Source organism: Homo sapiens, chromosome 1 (assembly GCF_000001405.40).
Source record: "Homo sapiens chromosome 1, GRCh38.p14 Primary Assembly".
Taxonomy (NCBI): Eukaryota; Metazoa; Chordata; class Mammalia; order Primates; family Hominidae; genus Homo; species Homo sapiens.
In genome coordinates, this window is record NC_000001.11 from 203,994,630 (window position 1) to 204,012,769 (window position 18,140).

Genomic DNA, 18,140 nt, shown 5'->3' on the forward strand with positions numbered 1-18,140 from the left:
GAAGGCAGCGGGAAGCCACCAGTGGTTTTACACAGAGCCAAAAAGTGATCACCTCTATATCTTTGAAAGACAGCTCAGACTACATACGGTGAGTGGGAAGAGTACAGAGGATTGAGGCAGGGGATTTTGTTCTAGAGGCCAAATATTGTTCTGCATTGCTGTGTCATTGCTGTCTGTTAATTGCACCCCACGTTCCGCACCACTTGCCTCATCTATCCCAGAATCTTATCCCTCACCTTTAGATTTTTCTCACCTCAAACCTTCAGTTCCATACCCACCCTACCAGAAGTTCAGGGATAGTCAAAGTGGCTTTCTGAGATCAAGAGTCCACAATGTCTTCATGAATCCATTCTTTGCACATTTACGAAGCTCTGCATATGCTCTGGGCTCTGCGCTATGGGCTAGAGTTGCAAAGGTGGATCAGACTCAATTCTTGCTTCCAAGGCAGGGACAAAGTTTTTTGCTTCTCTTTCTACTTGAAGAGTATTAAGAATCTAAACTGATCTTGGCTAGAGAAGGCAGATAGAGGAGACGGGTGGAGCAAGAATCAGAACAAAAAATGGGTAGCCTGGGATTGATAGCCATGAAATCAGGAGGGCAGATTTGTCCTCAGGGCCCAGTAGTACTTTTCTCTGAAGCCAGAGACGGCCTCCTTCCCTTCCTTTTTCCCTTCTTGCTCCTCTGGTCTCCTCACAGCCAAGCCTGGCTTCCATTCAAACTTTCCGGAAATCCCCTACCCAATTTCCAGCTTTTCAAACAATGACTCTCTGGAGAATATTCCCATTGTCCTTGGAATTAGAACAATGAGAGAGTAGAGCCTCCTCTCTGGCTTCAGACTACATCCCTGCTCCCAGCCAGCCTCCCACCAAAGTAAAAGCTTCCTCGACTCTCCAATCGCTGTTCCCATCTGTAGTGAGGCAGAAAGACAGGGGAAGTATAAGAAAAAGCATTTTCTACAAGTCAACCCAGCCCCTTAAGCACTACCTGGTGCCTTTCTTCTCCCAGCTAGAACTGAGAAGAATCTCTCTACAGGACTGGGATTGGACACCTGCCTATGCTCTGGGTTGGCAAGCAAGCTCCGGGTTTGACTGCTGTGTTTTCTAAATCTCTCTCTCTCTCTTTCTTTTCTTTTTTTTTCTGAGACATAGTCTTGCTCTGTCGCCCAGGCTGGAGTGCAGTGGCGCCATCTCAGCTCACTGCTGCAACCTCCGTCTCCCGGGTTCAAGCGATTCTCCCACCTCAGCCTCCTAAGTAGCTGAGATTACAAGCACCCACCACCATGCTGGGCTAATTTTTGTATTTTTAGTAGAGATGGGGTTTCATCATGTTGGCCAGGCTGGTCTCGAACTCTGGACCTCAAGTGATCCGCCTGTCTTGGTCTCCCAAAGTGCTGGGATTACAGGCGTGAGCCACCGTGCCAGCCTCTAAATCTCTTTTGATGCCTCAGTTTCCCCCCATCATTGAGGTGAGAGGACCCAGAGGCCATTCTGAAGGGATTGGCAGTCTAATTTTCCTCACTGCCTACTCCTCTTCCACTCCCTACTCTGACCCTAGGAGACTCCTGTCCCCTTTCTACCCAGTTCAGCCAAAAGCGCTGCTGGATGGGGAGGGTGCAGGCGGGGCTTTTCTTGCACCATCCTGGCGCCTGACTGGGTCAAGTTACTGGAGGCAGTCTGGATTTGAATGTGCAAATAAACAGAGGTTGCTTTGATCCTTGAGGCTGACAGGGAGGGGGAAGAAAACGGAGTGCCCTGGTCAGAGAAGTGCATGCTGGGCACTTGAAAGAGGGTTTGGGGGATGTGGAGCATGAGCTTGTCCTTATTCCTTTGACTGGACCAAAAACCTAATTTGTTAAAAAAAAAAAAAAATAGAGAGATCTTGAAAGAGTCAGGGACCCACATCAGACATTTCAGACCTCCTCTGGGAACCAAATATTCCAATGGCCTTTCTGCCTTGTCACCAGGAGGGGAGTGGGTTGCTTGAAGCCCACCCTCCCTCAAGGCTCTCTTGCCTTTGGGACATCTTGGGTGCCACTTGGGAGAAGGAGAAGCAGGATGGAACTATGAGGTGTGTGTGGTTCGGGGTGGGGCTGTAGGTTGGGAGGGGGTAGGGCCTATTGTCTCCCTGGGCACCAATCCACAGCCACAGGCAGGCTTAGAGACGGAGAGACAAAGGAGGGAATGGGAGAGCACAAAGGGAGCGGGAATGAAATGGTAAGTAAAGGCAAACAAAAGTGAGCCGGGGGAGACAAAAGCTGGGAACAATATTCCCCAGGCAATAGGCTCGGGAACAATAGGGACACTGACAGCCCCACAAAGACACCAGTGTCTCCAAGTAGACGTTATCTCAGGCAGTGGTTGGCAGCCCCACTCTGGCTGCAGCTATTTTCAGTGCCGCTTTTGTGCCATGCTGAACAATATTCCTTGCATGGCTGCTGATAGAAAGATGAGAAGGTTTCTGTTTGATTCTTCTCTTCCTTCCCTCCCCCCTCCCCTTTTTCCAGCCCCCACCAGCTCCAGGCAGTCTGAGCTCAAGTCTCTGGCCTGGTTAGGGGTGTGTGTGTGTGTGTGTGTGTGTGTGTGTGTGTGTGTGTGTGTGTGTTGGGAAGAGACCAAGTGGGGAGGGTCTCTATCTGGGCTTCCAGTTGCCCTCAATCTTATCAGGGCCTCCATGGAGGGAAGCTAGTAGAGTGGAGATTAGGGCTGGGCCAGTGGGGCTGAGAACTGAGGTGTGCGAGGAGGATCATCAGGGCAGTGGATTCTGCCCTTGCCCCAAATCACAAGACCAGCCTGAGTGAGTGACTATAAAAAGCCCTGCTTAGCAAAGGTTTTGCCTGTTGCTTGGCTATTCACATACATAATAGCCAAGGCCATAAGGGGTCCACCCTGTCATTCCACCCCTTCCTCCTTTGTGCCCACAAGTGTTCCCCACTCTACCCCCATAGCCACTGCTTTCTCCCATTCTTGTTTGTAGTTTTACCAGCCCCTTGACTAGCTCCCAACTTCCCTCCCCACCTCCGCCACTGCCAGATGAACCTAAGAGATCGGGGAAACTAGTCCTAGCTTGGGAAAAGACTGGTATGCACTGGCCCTTCCTTAGGCCTGATGGCCACTCCCACAGGGGTGTCCATGATCTTCATCCACAGTGCTGCTATTCCCCACCAAGTATCTCCCCTGTGTTCCTCCCTAGAGGAACTCTGACCCTAGAACATTGAGTCAGAGGTGTCCTTTCCCAGGGCCCCCTTGTGCATACGGCTGGTGTACTCTTAGTTTTCTCAGTATCTTAGCCCACTATGGCTGCCCCCGTGGGCTTAGATAAACTTTACAGTTTTTCGTCTAGCTGGTCTTCTTCTCCATATTACTATTCTATTCAGGTTATTTTGCTAGGTGGCTAAACTACTAAATTTCAGTTCTCTGACTTCCTCAAAAAAAAAGAGACCAAATTTCTTGGGAAGGCATTTATATAAAAATTTTGGCCAGGTGCTGTGGCTCACACCTGTAATCCCAGCACTTTGGGAGGCTGAGGCAGGCGGATCACGAGGTCAAGAGATCAAGACCATCCTGGCCAACATGGTGAAACCTCATCTCTACTAAAAATAACAAAAATTAGGCCGGGCATGGTGGTTCATGCCTGTAATCCCAGCACTTTGGGTGGCTGAGGCGGCCAGATCACGAGGTCAAGAGATCCAAACCATCCTGGCCAACATGATGAAACCCCTTCTCTACTAAAAACACAAAAATTAGCTGGGCGTGGTGGCATGCACCTGTAGTCCCAACTACTGGGGAGGCTGAGGCAGGAGAATCGCTTGAACCTGGGAGGCGGAAGTTGCAGTAAGCCGAGATCATGCCATTGCACTCCAGCCTGGATGACAGAGCCAGACTCCGTCTCAAAATAAATAAATAAATAAATAAAAATACAAAAATTAGCTGGGCATGGTGGCATGCACCTGTAGTCCCAGCTACTCAGGAGGCTGAGGAAGGAGAATCACTTTAACCTGGGAGGCAGAAGTTGCAGTGAGCCAAGATCACACCACTGCACTCCAGCCTGGCGACAGAGTGAGACTCCGTCTCAAAAAAAAAAATTTTCAAGCACAATGCTGTCCTGAGTCTAGACACTCAGGTTGACCCAGAAGGTTGAGTCATTGTGTAATCTGTGGGACTTGTGGCTATTTGTCCAGTGTTTTTTTTGTTTGTTTGTTTTTTTGTTTTTTTTTTTTCGAGATGGAGTCTCATTCTTGTTGCCCAGGCTGGAGTGCAATGGCATGATCTCAACTCGCTGCAACCTCTGCCTCCCAATTTCAAGTGATTATCCCACCTCAGCCTCCCGAGTAGCTGGGATTACAGGCACCTGCCACCATGCCCAGCTAATTTTTGTATTTTTAGTAGAGACGGGGTTTCACCATGTTGGCCAGGCTGGATATTTGTCCAGCTTTCTAAATATAAGTTCGCTTTTTGAAGGCAGAAAACACTTTCATACCTCTATTGGCTACTTCATGGCATCATGGTACACAATGAGTTCTTAATGAACACTTGCTGAATTGGACTGAATTTAGAGAATCAGAAGGGACCTTAAAGCTCATCTAATACCTTACTACTCAAAATGTTGTCTCTGGCTCAGCAGCATCAGCATCACCTGAGAACTTGATAGAAATGCAGAATCTCAGACTTCCTGAATCAGCATCTGCATTTTAACAAGCTCCCCAGGTAATCCATATGCTCCTGAAGACACAGACAACTGGTCTAGTACAGCTACTGCCTCCCTGCCTTCCCCAAACTACTACCTGTTTTATAACATTATCACCATCCATCACCTAGAATCTTAGAAACCATGAGCCAGACTAGGCCATCCAGCTGGCAACTACAGAAAGACCTCGGTGGACATGAGCTTACTATCTGTGGTAACAGTCAGTTCCATGGTTGGAATAAAATCATATGGAACAGAATTAAATTTGCATGAAACAGCCTTGGGAATGGGACTTTGCACTTAGTATATACTCAATCAAAGACTGTTGAGGAAAAGGTCTAAATAATCTATTATTACCTCTCTTGAATGATTACTATGATAGTTCATTTTATGTGTCAACTTGACTGGGACATGAGGTGCCCAGACATTTGGTCAAACATTATTCTGGGCATGCCTGTGGAAGCATTTCTGGATGAGATAAACATATGAATCAGAAGACTGAGTGAAGCAGATTCTCTTCCCTAATATGGGTAGGCCTTATTCAGTCAAAAGCCTGAATAGAACAAAAATGCTCAGTAAAAGGGAATTTTGTCTGTCTGACTGCTTGAGCTAGGATATTGGTCTTCTGCCTTTGGACTCTAATGGAAACATAAGCTCTTTGTGGGTCTCAATCTTGACTTTTGGACTTGAATTTACACCACTTGCTGTCTGGTTCTCAGGCCTTCAGACTTGGACTAGAACTACACCATTGCTGTCTTAGGTCTCTAGATTGCTGACTGCAGATTTTGCAAATTCTTAGCCTCGATAATCACATGAACCAATTCCCCTAATACCTCTTTCTTGCCCTGTTTCTCTCTCACATCACAGACACACACACACACACACACACACACACACACACTGTTTGTACTGTTTCCCTGGAGAACTCTGGCTGATACATTTTTTTGGTAGTGAGACATGAGGTAGTGCTGTAACAAATATCTAAACATGTAGAAGTGGCTTTGGAACTGGGTAATGGGTAGAAGCTGCAAGATTTTTGAAGTGCACACTAGAAACATAGATGTTAAGGGTAATTCTGGTGAAATGTCAGACAGAAATGAGGATCATGTTACTGGAAACTGGAGCAAAGGAAACCTGTTATAAAATGGTGAAGAAGACTGGGTGTGGTGGCTCACGCCTGTAATCCCAGCACTTTGGGAGGCTGAGGTGGGCAGATCACTTGAGGCCAGGAATTTGGGACCAAACTGGCCAACATGGTGAAACCTTGTCCATCTCTACTAAAAATACAAAAATTAGTGGAGTGAGGTAGCACACACCTGTAGTCCCAGCTACTTGGAAGGCTGAGGCATGAGAATTGCTTGAACCCAGAAGGCAGAGGTTGCAGTGAGCCAAGATGATACCACTGCACTCCAGCATGAGTGACAGAGAAAGACTCTGTATCAAAAACAAATAAATAAATAGAGTGGTGAAGAACTTGGTTAAAGAGGGTTTTGTGAAAAGTAGAACTTGTGAGCAATATAACTGGATATTTAGCCAAGGAGATTTCTAAGCAGAGTATTGAAGGAGCAACTTTGTTCCTCCTGACTGCTTACAGCAAAATGGGAAAGGAGAGAAATTAGTTGAAGAAGGAATTGTTAAGCATAAAGGAACCAGAAATAGAGGATTTGGGAAAGTCTATCCATACTGAAAAAAAAAAAAACAAGAAAGAAAAAAGAAAAAGCTTATTCTGAAAAGAAAACTGAAACTAAAACTATTTGATAAAGAGGTCATGAGTAAGACTCATAAACTTCATCAACCATCTTAGCAAAAGCCAGGAATAGAGATGGAATTATACCAGCAAAGACACTGACAGTTTGAACCAAATAAAGTGGAAAGAGAAAACAAGATGAAATGAAAGAAGGCTATTGGACTTCTTAGATCCTTATTCTGCAAGTAAAGTGAAGAATGACCTCAAAGGTGATTCAGATACCATCAGGGCTGCCTCCTTGGTTTCAAAGTGGGGGGGTGATTGCCTCAGTTTCAAGTGGCCAGACAGCCACTGACTGAAGCCTTGTGGGTGGGGCCACACTGTGGAGCCCTGAGGGTGTAAATCCCTGTGGGTGCAGAGCTGTGGAGGCGAGACTGCTTCCCTAGTAGGTCCTAAATGTGGGACAGACTCCCCAGTGGGTCTGAAAGGCGGAGCATTGAGCCAAAGAGCATTATTCTTCAGGCTTAAAATTTAGTAGAATTTGACTTGCTAGATTTTGGACTTGCTTGGGATCATCATCCCTTTCTTCCCTCCAGTTTCTCCCTTTTGGAATGGGAATGTCTATCCTATGGCTGTCCACCATTGTATTTGGAAGTATGTAACTTGTCTGGTTTCACAGGCTCACAGCTGGAGAAGAATTTTGCCTGAGGATGAATGTACTGCAAGTCTCACCCATATCTGATTTAGATGATATTTAGATGAGACTATGGACTTTAGAATTGATGCTGGAATGTGTTAAGAGTTTAGGGAAGATGTAAATATAACAAAAGTTTAAAAAAGAAGATGTAAATATAATAAATTTTTTAAAAAAATTTTTAATTGGTATACAAGCCAGGTGCAGTGGCTCACGCCTGTAATCCCAACACTCTGGGAGGCCAAGGCGGGTGGATCACTTGAGGTCAGGAGTTTGAGACCAGCCTGGCCAACATGGTAAAACCCTGTCTCTACTAAAAATACAAAAGTTAGTCAGGTGTGGTGGTGGGCGTCTGTAATACCAGCTACTTGGGAGGCTGAGACATGAGAATCACTTGAACCTGGGAGGCGAAGGTTGCAGTGAGCCAAGATCTTGCCACTGCACCCCAGCCTGGGTGAGAGGGCAAGACTCCATCTCGAAAAAAAATTTTTTGTTGTTTTTTTATTTGTTTTTGTTTTTTGAGACGGAGTCTTGCTCTGTTGCCAGGCTGGAGTGCAATGGTGTGATCTCGGCTCATTGCAACCTCCACCTCCCAGGTTCAAGCGATTCTCCTGCCTCAGCCTCCCCAGCAGCTGGGACTACAGGCACGCACCACCACACCAAGCTCATTTTTGTATTTTTAGTAGAAACAGGGTTTTACCATGTTGGCCAGATGGTCTCAATCTCTTGACCTCATGATCTGCCTGCCTCGGCCTCCCAAAGTGCTGAGATTACAGGTATGAGCCACTGTGCCCAGCCAAAAAATATTTTTTTTAATCAAAATTAAAAATTGGTGTCCAAGAAGATGTAAGTATAATAAAATTTAAAAATAAATTTAAAAATTTTTAAAAAGATTTTTTGAGGCTGTTGGGATGGAATAAATATATTCTACATGCAATAAGAACATGAATTTTTTTGTGGGGGTCAGGGGCAGAATGCTATAGACTGAATTGCAAATGTTGGAATCCTAACCTTCAGTGTGACTGCATTTGGAGTAAGGAAATAATCAAGATTAAATGAGGTCATAAGGGTGGAGCCCTGATAGGATTAGGATCCTTGTAAGAAGAGGCACCAGAGAGCTCACTCTTTCTCTCCCTGCCATGTGAGGACATAGTGAGAAGGTGGCCATCTGTAAGCCTGAAAGAGCCCTCACCAGAAACCGATCCTGCAAGAACTTGGTCTGGGACTCCCAGCCTTCAGAACTTCGAGCAATTAAATATCTGTTGATGAAGCCACCCAGTCTGTGGTATTTTGTTATGGCAGCCCTAGCCGACTGATATACTCCATAATGATGGAAAGAAGGAGAGGCTACTAAGCCTGAAGCAGGCTTGCACAGGGTGGACTGAGGGCTCTGAAGGGCCTCACAGTAGAGTACACACAGAATCTCATTATTCTTCCAAAGTAGAGGTGGTAATATTTCCTCTTTTCCTTTGATGTCCTTGGCACAAACCAAGACAACAGCAGAGTGAGCCATGTGGAGCTGCTGTGTGCCCCACACAAAGCAATTCCCAGGCAGGGATAGGTACCCAAGACCATTACAATTATCCCAAATCAAAACTCTTTTCTTAGATTTTGCTGCTATTGTTCCGATAATGGTGGTATTTTCCCCACTTTCGGAGGTGGGGGGCAGGAACTTACCAATGAATAGAATCAAATTTTTACAATTAGAAATTAAAATTTTTTTCTCCCATAGATTAGCAGAAAACAAAACACCTCTATTGGTGCTCACTTATAACAAGCATCATTCACGTGGTTGTTTGAAACCTAATGTGTTAAATTGTATCAGGGCCTGTAAAGACCATCATGACTACTATATACTCAACCAATCCAAACAGATTTATGAAACATTGCAGAGTGTTTATTTGACTGTCTTTCTCTATCAAACCAGTCAATTCCCTCCAATAAAATAAATAGCAGTGGTAATTTCTGATCTATGGACAGTCATGTTTTGGGAGGAGAGGAGAGTGGTTGGGGCTGGTAATCTATTTTCTAGCCAAACTGGAAAATCAGCTTTTCAGAAGTTTCCTCCTGACTCCTCCCACCCCCACTCCCCACATCAAGGGAGGGCAGAGAAGGAAAAAGATATTAAGGTTTGGATTAAACCACCATTGTGCATATTTATAATTCATTCTGAACAACAGAGGACAAGGATAGAGGCTTTAAAAAAAATTCAGTAATCAGCAGCAGCGACAGCAGCCCCTGTGCTCTTAGCTCTCCTTATCCACATAAGACAGCCTTTGGACAGGCCTGAGATAACAAGAGCCTTGTGTGCTCTATCACCCCTTCAGCATGTTCATATGTGTTTTCTGACATGGCCTGAGCATCCCAGACCAGCTGCCTCTGATGCATGGGAAGGTCCCTTGGCTGATGCATGCACAGTGCGAGCACAGAGGAGGGCACCATCTTCCAGAGTGAAAACAATCCTGTGGGCCAGTCGCGGTGGCTCATGCTTGTAATCTCAGCACTTTGGGAGGCTGAGGCGGGCGGATCACCTGAGGTCGGGAGTTCGAGACCAGCCTGACCAACATGGAGAAACCTCATCTCTACAAAAAATACAAAATTAGCTGGGCATGGTGGCGCATGCCTGTAATCCCAACTACTCAGGAGGCTGAGGCAGGAGAATCGCTTGAACCCAGGAGGCGGAGGTTGCGGTGAGCCGAGATTGCGCCACTGCACTCCAGCCTGGGCAACAAGAGCAAAACTGTGTATCAAAAAAAAAAAAAAAAATCCTGTGAAATCGAGGCAGCCAGTGCCGCACAATGGCTCAGAGTTCCTGTGGAAGTTCAACACAGGGGAAATTAAATTACTGCAGAGGTGGTGTAGGATGGGGAGGTGGGTGCTTACTCAGAGAATGTGAGGGAAATCCCAAGGCCTCTGGGCTCATTAAGGCTTAGTCCATTCAGGCTGCTATACCAAAATATCATGGACTAGGCAGCTTATAAACAACAAAAATTTATTTCTCACAATTCTGAAGGCTGGGAAGTCCAAGATCAAGTTTCTGGCAGATGCAGTGTCTGGTGAGGCACCGCTTCCTGGTTCATAGACAGCTGTTTTTTTGCTATAACCTCACATAGCAGAGTGGGGCGACGGACCTTTTTTGAGGCTTCTTTTATAAAGGCACTAATTCCATTCATGAGGGCTCCACCCTCATGACCTAATCACCTCCCAAAGGCCCCACCTCCTAATAGGATAAACTTGGGGGCTAAGATTTCAACAGTGGCTGGGTACAGTGGAACACACCTATAATCCCAGCCACTCGAGAGGCTGAGGTGGGAGGATTGTTTGAGGCTACAGTGCACAATGATCCTGCCTGTGAATGGACACTGCACTCCAGCCTGGGCAACATAACAAGACGCCATCTCCAAAAAAAGAAAAAAAAAAAAAGAAGTAATGAAGTTTGAGGGAACACAAACATTCAGATCATGGTAGGAGATGAGGAGAGGGTGACCAAGAGAGAAAAAGCCTTTTGAGTTGTGGAAGGTAGAGAAGGGATTCCAGTTTGTGCTGGTGAATGTGCAAAGCGCATGTAAAGTAACCATAGGCTTGAGCTCTGATTTTAGAATTAATAATACAGTATGTTTTTGTTTTGTCACGGACTCTAATTAGACCTCTAGAGCTAGTTATAGCATCGTTGCACCCTCCTACCCTTTTGATATCGTTTGGATCTGTGTCCCCACCCAAATCTCATGTTCAGTTGTAATCCCCAGTGTTGAAGGTGGGGCCTGGTGGGAGATGATTGGATCATGGGGGTGGATCCTTCCTGAATGGGTTAGCACCCTCCCTTTTTGGTCCTGTTCTTGGGACAGAGTTCTCATGAGACCTGGATTTCTCTCTCTTCCTCCTGTGAAGGAGCCTGCTTCCAGCCATGTGAAGATGCCTGCTGCAGCCTCGCCTTCTGCCTTGAATAAAAGCTCCCTCAGGCCTCCCCAGAAAAAGATGCTGCCATGCTTCCTGTACAGCCTGCAGAACAGTGAGTCAATTTAATCTCCTTTCTTTATGAATTAGCCACTCTCGGGCAATTCTCTGTAGCAGTGTGAAAAAAGACTAATACCTCATCCCCTGACCACATATCCTCCCCTCACCCAACGCACAGCTGGAATCAGGTGTGTTGTCAGCCTCCCCTGTAAAGGTTCATTTCCAGTTGGTATACAGGGGGTTCACAGAGACTGGCATCTGAATGATACTGCCTGGAATGAGCAGTGATGGGGCCCAGTTCATTTCCACTTCTCAAATTGATGCTCCATCAGTGAGGCACAAAAGTCATCCCCACTCCCTTCCACCAGTCCCAGACCATACTGTCTAGATGGCTCATTGCCTATGTAGTGGCTCTGCCTGATACCTTTGCAGGAGAAATGTAATGTTAGCCTACCTTCACTTTTAGGAGGTACTAATTTAGGGTATGATGGTGGACTAGGTATTCAATACCAAGGGCTATTCTTCTAGGTAAGAAGTTTTAAATTTTGAGTCAAAACTGTCCTTTACTTTAAAATTCTGTTTAAAACTCAGGCATTCTAGAATTAATTCCCTGATTAAACTGGCCAAGACATGATCATTGAACACTGCCCTATTCTTGGGACTCATTGCTTACTATTATCTTTGCCATATATATCTTTACTCTCAAGTTTTTCTTTCCTGTACCCATTCCTGGTCTGACTTTTCTCCACGAGCAATCCTGCGGCTTTCATTAGGCATTGAGCTATGTGATGAAAGAGGCCTTATCTAGTCCTGCCTCAGGAACAAAACCAATTTAAAAAATAATTTTCAACAGCCATTGTATGCAAGACACAGTCCTAAGATGAGGACTGGAAGATGAGCAAAGGATACAATAATTGGAAGTAGTTTAGAGCTAGTTGGAGAGATAGACATAGGTGTAATGTGAACTAATATTATGTGATGTCAACTTAGTAACTCAAGATGGCAATAAAATAGAAGTGAGAATTCCATTACATACCTATTAAAATGGTCAAAATCCAGTTACATCACCAAATGCTGATGAGGATGTGGAGCAATCCTCATTTACTGCTGGTGAGAATGGGAAATTGTATGGCCTCTTTGGAAGACAGTTTGGCAATTTCTTACAAAACTAAGCACATTCTTCCCAGATGATCCAGAAACTGCACTCCTTTGAATTAATACAAAGGAGTTGAAAATCGATGACCATACAGAAACCTGCACATGGATATTTATAGCAGCTTTTTTCATAATTGTCAAAACTTGAAAGCAACCAAGATCTCCTTCAGTAGGTAAATGGTTCAATAAACTGTGGTACAGCCAAACAATGGAATATTATTTAGCACTAAAAGGATATGAACTATCAAGCCATGAAAAGGAAAACTTAAGGCTGGGCGCGGTGGCTCATGCCTGTAACACCAGCACTTTGGGAGGCCAAGGCAGGCGGATCACGAGGTCAGGAGATCGAGACCATCCTGGCTAACATGGTGAAACCCCGTCTCTACTAAAAATACAAAAAATTAGCCAGGCATGGTGGTGGGCGCCTGTGGTCCCAGCTTACTTGGGAGGCTGAGGCAGGAGAATGGCATGAACCCGGGAGGCGGAGCTTGCAGTGAGCCAAGATCGCACCACTGTACTCCAGCCTGGGCAACAGAGCGAGACTCTGTCTCAAAAAAGAAAAAAAAAAAGAAAAGGAAAACTTAAATGCATATTACTAAATAAAAAGAAAACATGAAGGAAAGTTGAATGCATATTGCTAAGTTAAAAAAAAAAAAGCCAATCATAAAAGGCTACATACTCTATGTTTCCAACAATATGACATTCTGGAAAAGGCAAAACTATGGAGGGGGTGAATAGGCAGAACACAGAGGATCTTTGAGGTGGTGAAACAATTCTGCATGACACCATAATGGTGGATACATATAACTATACGTTTGTCCAAACCCATAGAATCTACAATACCAAGAGTGAACTCTAATGTTAACTACAGTCTTTGGGCGATAATAATGTGTTGATACAGGCTCAAAATTGTAGCAAATGTACCATTCTGGTATGGGATGTTAATAATGGGGGAGGCTGTGATGTGTGGAGGCAGGGGGCTTCTGGGAACTGTCTATACCTTCTTCTGAATTTTGCTGTGAATGTAAAACTGCTCTAAAAAAATAAAATCTATTTTTTTTTAAGTGAGAAGGAAGCATATGAATGTTCAGAGAAGATAAAGTCTATGTACGCCATAAAGGAGACAATGGAAAAGGGGCCTTGAAGTAAAGGTGGAATTGGCCAGGCAAGAAGGATAAAGAAGACTATTATAGCCCTGGAAAATAGTATAAACAAAGACAGTCAGTTCTGCTCTAAGTCTTGTTTTGAAAACATGAATTTGTTCCAACCCAATTCATATATTAGGGAGCAATCTAAGTGTAATACAGATTTTGCATTTGCTGGTGCATGGTTTTTCCCTGAGAAACACCAGATGAATGGAGAAAACTCTACTGAGCTGAACCAAACAGGGCAGAAGTACACAAAATGTACACAAGGACACCTCTCAAATTCCTACCACCTGAGTTTACAGGGTGTGTTAGAAACCCTCTTTCCACCACTTCATAGGAACTCATAAGCTGCACCCCTTCCAACGACCAGCTCCATATACAAAATTAATGTCTGTTTCAGGATACTCTGCCATATTTATTGCAGCATGTATCTATTTCTTAACCATTTAATGTGTGAACTGTGCTACAACTTTATTAGATTCCTATCTTTTTTGTTGTTATATTGACAAAACTTCTCAATGTTGTAACCTCTAACTATTTTTCCCATTAGCCCTATAGTTTTGTTTTTGTTGTTGTTGTTTTGTTTTGTGAGATGGAGTCTTGCTCTGTTGCCAGGCTGGAGTGCAGTGGCACAATCTCGGCTCACTGCAACCTCTGCCTCTGGGGTTCAAGCAATTCTCCTGCCTCAGCCTCCTAAGTAGCTGGGATTACAGGAGCATGCCACCACCCCTGGCTAATTTTTGTATTTTTAGTAGAGACGGGGTTTCACCATGTTGGCCAGGATGGTCTCCAACTCCTGACCTTGTGGTCCACCCACCTCGGCCTCCCACAGTGTTGGGATTACAGGCGTGAGACCAGACAGCCCTATAGTTGTTCTTGGCATGGTTTTTGCATAACAGGGTGATTTTAGGAGCATAGATGTTGTGCTATAGCAAAACTGACTGCAGGGGTTATGGAATAAAAATCTTGGAGAACTGTAAGTATTCATTCATTTATGTATTCATTTGACCAATATTTGTTGAGTGCCTCCTATATGCTAGACTCTGTTCTGAGTGATGGAGATATGGCAGTGAAAAAAACCGACATAAGGCCAGGTGCAGTGGCTCACGCCTGTAATCCCAGCACTTTGGGAGGCCGAGGCGGGTGGATCACAAGGTCAAGAGATTGAGACCATCCTGGCCAACATGGTGAAACCCCGTCTCTACTGAAAATACAAAAATTAGCTGGGTGTGGTGGCGCACGCCTGTAGTCCCAGCTACTTGGGAGGCTGAGGCAGGAGAATCACTTGAACCCGGGAGGTGGAGGTTGCAGTGAGCTGAGACTGCGCCAGCCTGGCAAAAGAGCAGGACTCTGTCTCAAAAAAAAGAACAGACACAAATTCCTGCCCTCCAGGAATTTACATCCTAGTTGGGGAGATAAACAAAAACAAGATAAATAAATGAAATAGGCTGGGCCGGTGGCTCACGCCTGTAATCCCAACACTTTGGGAGGCCGAGGTGGGCAGATCATGAAGTCAGGAGCTCATGACCAGCCTGACCAACATGGTGAAACCCCATCTCTACTAAAAATACAAAAATTAGCTGGGCGTGGTGGTGCGCACCTGTAATCCCAGCTACTCAGGAGGCTGAGGCAAGAGAATCGCTTGAACCTGGGAGGTGGAGGTTGCAGTGAGCTGAGATCGCCACTGCACTCCAGCCTGGGCAACAAGAGTGAGATTCTACCTCAAAAAATAATAATAAATAAAAATAAATAAATAAATATATAGTGTGTTAGGTACTAATCAATGTCAAGAAGAAAAACATAAAGCAGAAGAGTTGATATGACATGTCAGGGGATGGGTTTGGCTATGATGTCTGTATTAGTTATTGCTACATAACAAATGATCCCAAAACTTAACAGCTGAGAACAATAAGCATTTATTCTCTCTCATAGTTTTTTTTTTTTTTTTTTTGAGACAGGATCTTGCTCTGTTGCTCAGGCTGTAGTGCAGTGGCATGATCTTGGCTCACTGCAGCCTCCACCTCCCAGGTTCAAGCGATTCTTATACCTCAGTCTTCCAAGCAGCTGGGACTAAATAGGTGTGCACCACCATGCCCAGCTGTTTTGTATTTTTAGTAGAGATGGGGTTTCACCATATTGCCCAGGCTGGTCTGGAACTCCTGACCTCAAGTGATCCACCCACCTCAGCATCCCAAAGTGCTGGGATTACAGGCATGAGACACCACGCCCGGCCTCATATAGTTTCTGAGGGTTAGGAAGACAGGAGTGGCTTACCTGGAGTGGCTCTGGCTCAGGATCCTTCATGAGATCGTAGTCAAGGTATTGGCTGTGAACTTCCATGCTTACTCGCATGGCTGTTGGCAAGAGGCTTCAGTTCCCTGCCCCACCAGAGGACTGCCCATGATATGGCAGCTTGTCTTCCCCAGAGAGAAGGCTTCTGAAGGGAGAGGTGACCTGCCCAAGATGGAAGCTGCACTCTTTAAAAAAAAAAAAAAATTCTTTTTCTTTTTTACTTTTGTAGAGACAGGGTTTTGCCATGTTGCCCAGGCTGGTTTCAAACTCCACCTGCTTTGGCCTCCCAGTGTTGGGATTATAGGTATGAGCCACCACACCAAGCCCTGCAATCTTTTACAACCTGGTATCAGTGGTGTCATGATATGGTTTGGATGTGTGTCCCTGCCCAAATCTCATATGGAAATGTAATCCCCAATGTTGAAGGTGGGGCCTGGAGGGAGGTGATTGGATCATGGGGTGGATTTCTCATGAATGGCTTGGCACCATCCCCGCTGGTACTGTCCCTGTGGTAGTGAGTGAGTTCTCATGAGTTCTGGTCATTTAAAAATGTGTAGCACCTCCTCCCTCACTCTCTTGCTCCTGCTCCGATCATGGGAAGTGCTCACTCCCCCTTTGCCTTTGGCCATGGTTGAAGTTTCCTGAGGCTTCCCCAGTAGCAGAAAGCTGTTATGCTTCCTGTACAGCCTACAGAACCATGAGCCAATTAAACTTCTTTATAAATTACCCAGCCTCAGGTATTTCTTTTTTTAAATTTTAATTTAATTTAATTTAATTCTTTTGAGAGAGAGTCTCATTCTGTCACCCAGGCTGGAGTACAGTGGTGCTATCTTGGCTCACTGCAACCTCCATCTCCCAGGTTCAAGCGATCCTCCTGCCTCAGCCTCCCGAGTAGCTGGGACTACAGGCATGAGCCACCATGCCTGCTAATTTTTGTATTTTTAGTAGACAGAGTTTCATCATGTTGGCCAGGCTGATCTTGAACTCCTGACCTCAAGTGATCTGCCTGCCTCAGCCTCCCAAAGTGCTGGGATTACAGGCATGAGTCGTGGCGCCCAGCCAGGTGTTTCTTTATTGCAATTCGAGAATGGACCAATACATAGCCTAATAGCACTTCTGCTATATTCCACTGGTCACACAAACCAGCCCTGCTACAATGTGAGAGAGGACAGCATGACCACAAACAAGTACAGGTGTCTGGAGATGGGGATTGCTGGGAGCCATTTTGGAGGCTGACTACCACAGTCACCAAGGAAGACCTCATTCAGAAAATGACCTTTGGATTCACCCTGGAAAGATGTGAGAGAGCTAGCCATGAGGATATCTGGGGAAAGATCATTCTATGCAGACGAAACATCATGAGCAAACATATATGTCTGGCGTATTTGATGGATGGCCGGCGACAATGTGGCTGAGGCAGGGGGAGCAGGAGGGAAAGGAAGACAGGATGCCAAAGAGGTGACGGGCAGGGGAATGCTTTCATCTTTACATGTTTCAGAAAGACAAGTTATGAGCAGAGAACTGACATGATCTGAATTAGGATTTGATAAAATGCATCTAGTTACTATGTTGAGAATAGATCAAAGGGAAGTAAGTGCAGAAGCAGGACGACAAATTAGGAGGTGAGAGATGATGGTGGTAGGAAGTAGTCTCCCAGCCTGGGCAACAGGGTGAAATCCTGTCTCTACAAAAAATACAAAAATTAGCCGGGCATGGTGGCAGGTGCCTGTAGTCCCAGCTGTTTGGGAGGCTGAGATGGGATGATCACTTGAGCCCGGGAGGTGGAGGGTGCAGTGAGTGGAGATCACACCACTGCATCCCAGCCTGGGTGAGAGATTCTGTCTCAAAAATAAAGTAAAATAAAAAGTAAAAAGAAGTGGCCCAATTCCAGAAACATTTTGAAGGTAGAACAGATAATTTGCTGATGGGTTGAATGCAGGGTATAAAAGAGGAGTCAAAGATAACATGAGGTTTTTTGTCCATGTAAGTGGAAGAATATAGTTGCCATCATCTACGTATGGTAAGAATGAAGACAGAACAGTGTTAGGGTAAATAGCAGGTGCTCAACTTTGAATATGTTAAGTGTGAAGTGCCTATTAGATATCCAAATAGAAATGTTGAGTCAACAATCAAGGTGGGAGTTCTGGAAAGAGTTTGAGGTTAGAGATACAAATTTGGGAATCATCAGATATAAGTGGTATTTAAAACTTTGAGATTAGATAAAATCACCTAAGAAATAAGTGCAGATTAAACAAGGAGGTGAGATGTAAGGACTAAGGCCTGAGACACTCCAACAAAAAAAGAAAGAAAGAAGGAAGGAAGGGAGGGAAGGAGGGAGGGAATAAGGAAGGAAGAAAGAAAGGAAGGAAGGAGGAAGGGAGGGAGGGAAGGAAGGAAGGAAAGAAAGAAGGAAGAAACAGAAAGAAAGAAAGAAAGAAAGAAAGAAAGAAAGAAAGAAAGAAAGAAAGAAAGAAAGAAAGAAAGATCAAGAGAAAGAAAGAAGAGTGTGGCCAGAGAGATAGGAGTC

At 45.0% G+C, this 18,140-nt stretch overlaps 1 long non-coding RNA gene across 1 annotated transcript, besides 1 other annotated feature; it reads left to right on the forward strand.

Annotated features, from left to right (window-relative positions):
• Window positions 1,908-2,471: an enhancer, noted in NCBI's record as "NANOG-H3K27ac-H3K4me1 hESC enhancer chr1:203965665-203966228 (GRCh37/hg19 assembly coordinates)". NCBI's record gives its function as "activates a minimal SCP1, AML or CMV promoter by ChIP-STARR-seq in naive H9 embryonic stem cells {active_cell/tissue: H9 hESC(naive)}" and the evidence as "EXISTENCE:reporter gene assay evidence [ECO:0000049][PMID:30033119]".
• On the forward strand, window positions 2,157-14,301 carry LOC105371689 (uncharacterized). Its single transcript, XR_922443.4, has 3 exons — window positions 2,157-2,213; window positions 10,953-11,073; window positions 13,239-14,301. It is a non-coding gene; the product is annotated as an uncharacterized LOC105371689 (long non-coding RNA).
• The last annotated feature ends 3,839 nt before the right edge of the window (window positions 14,302-18,140 follow it).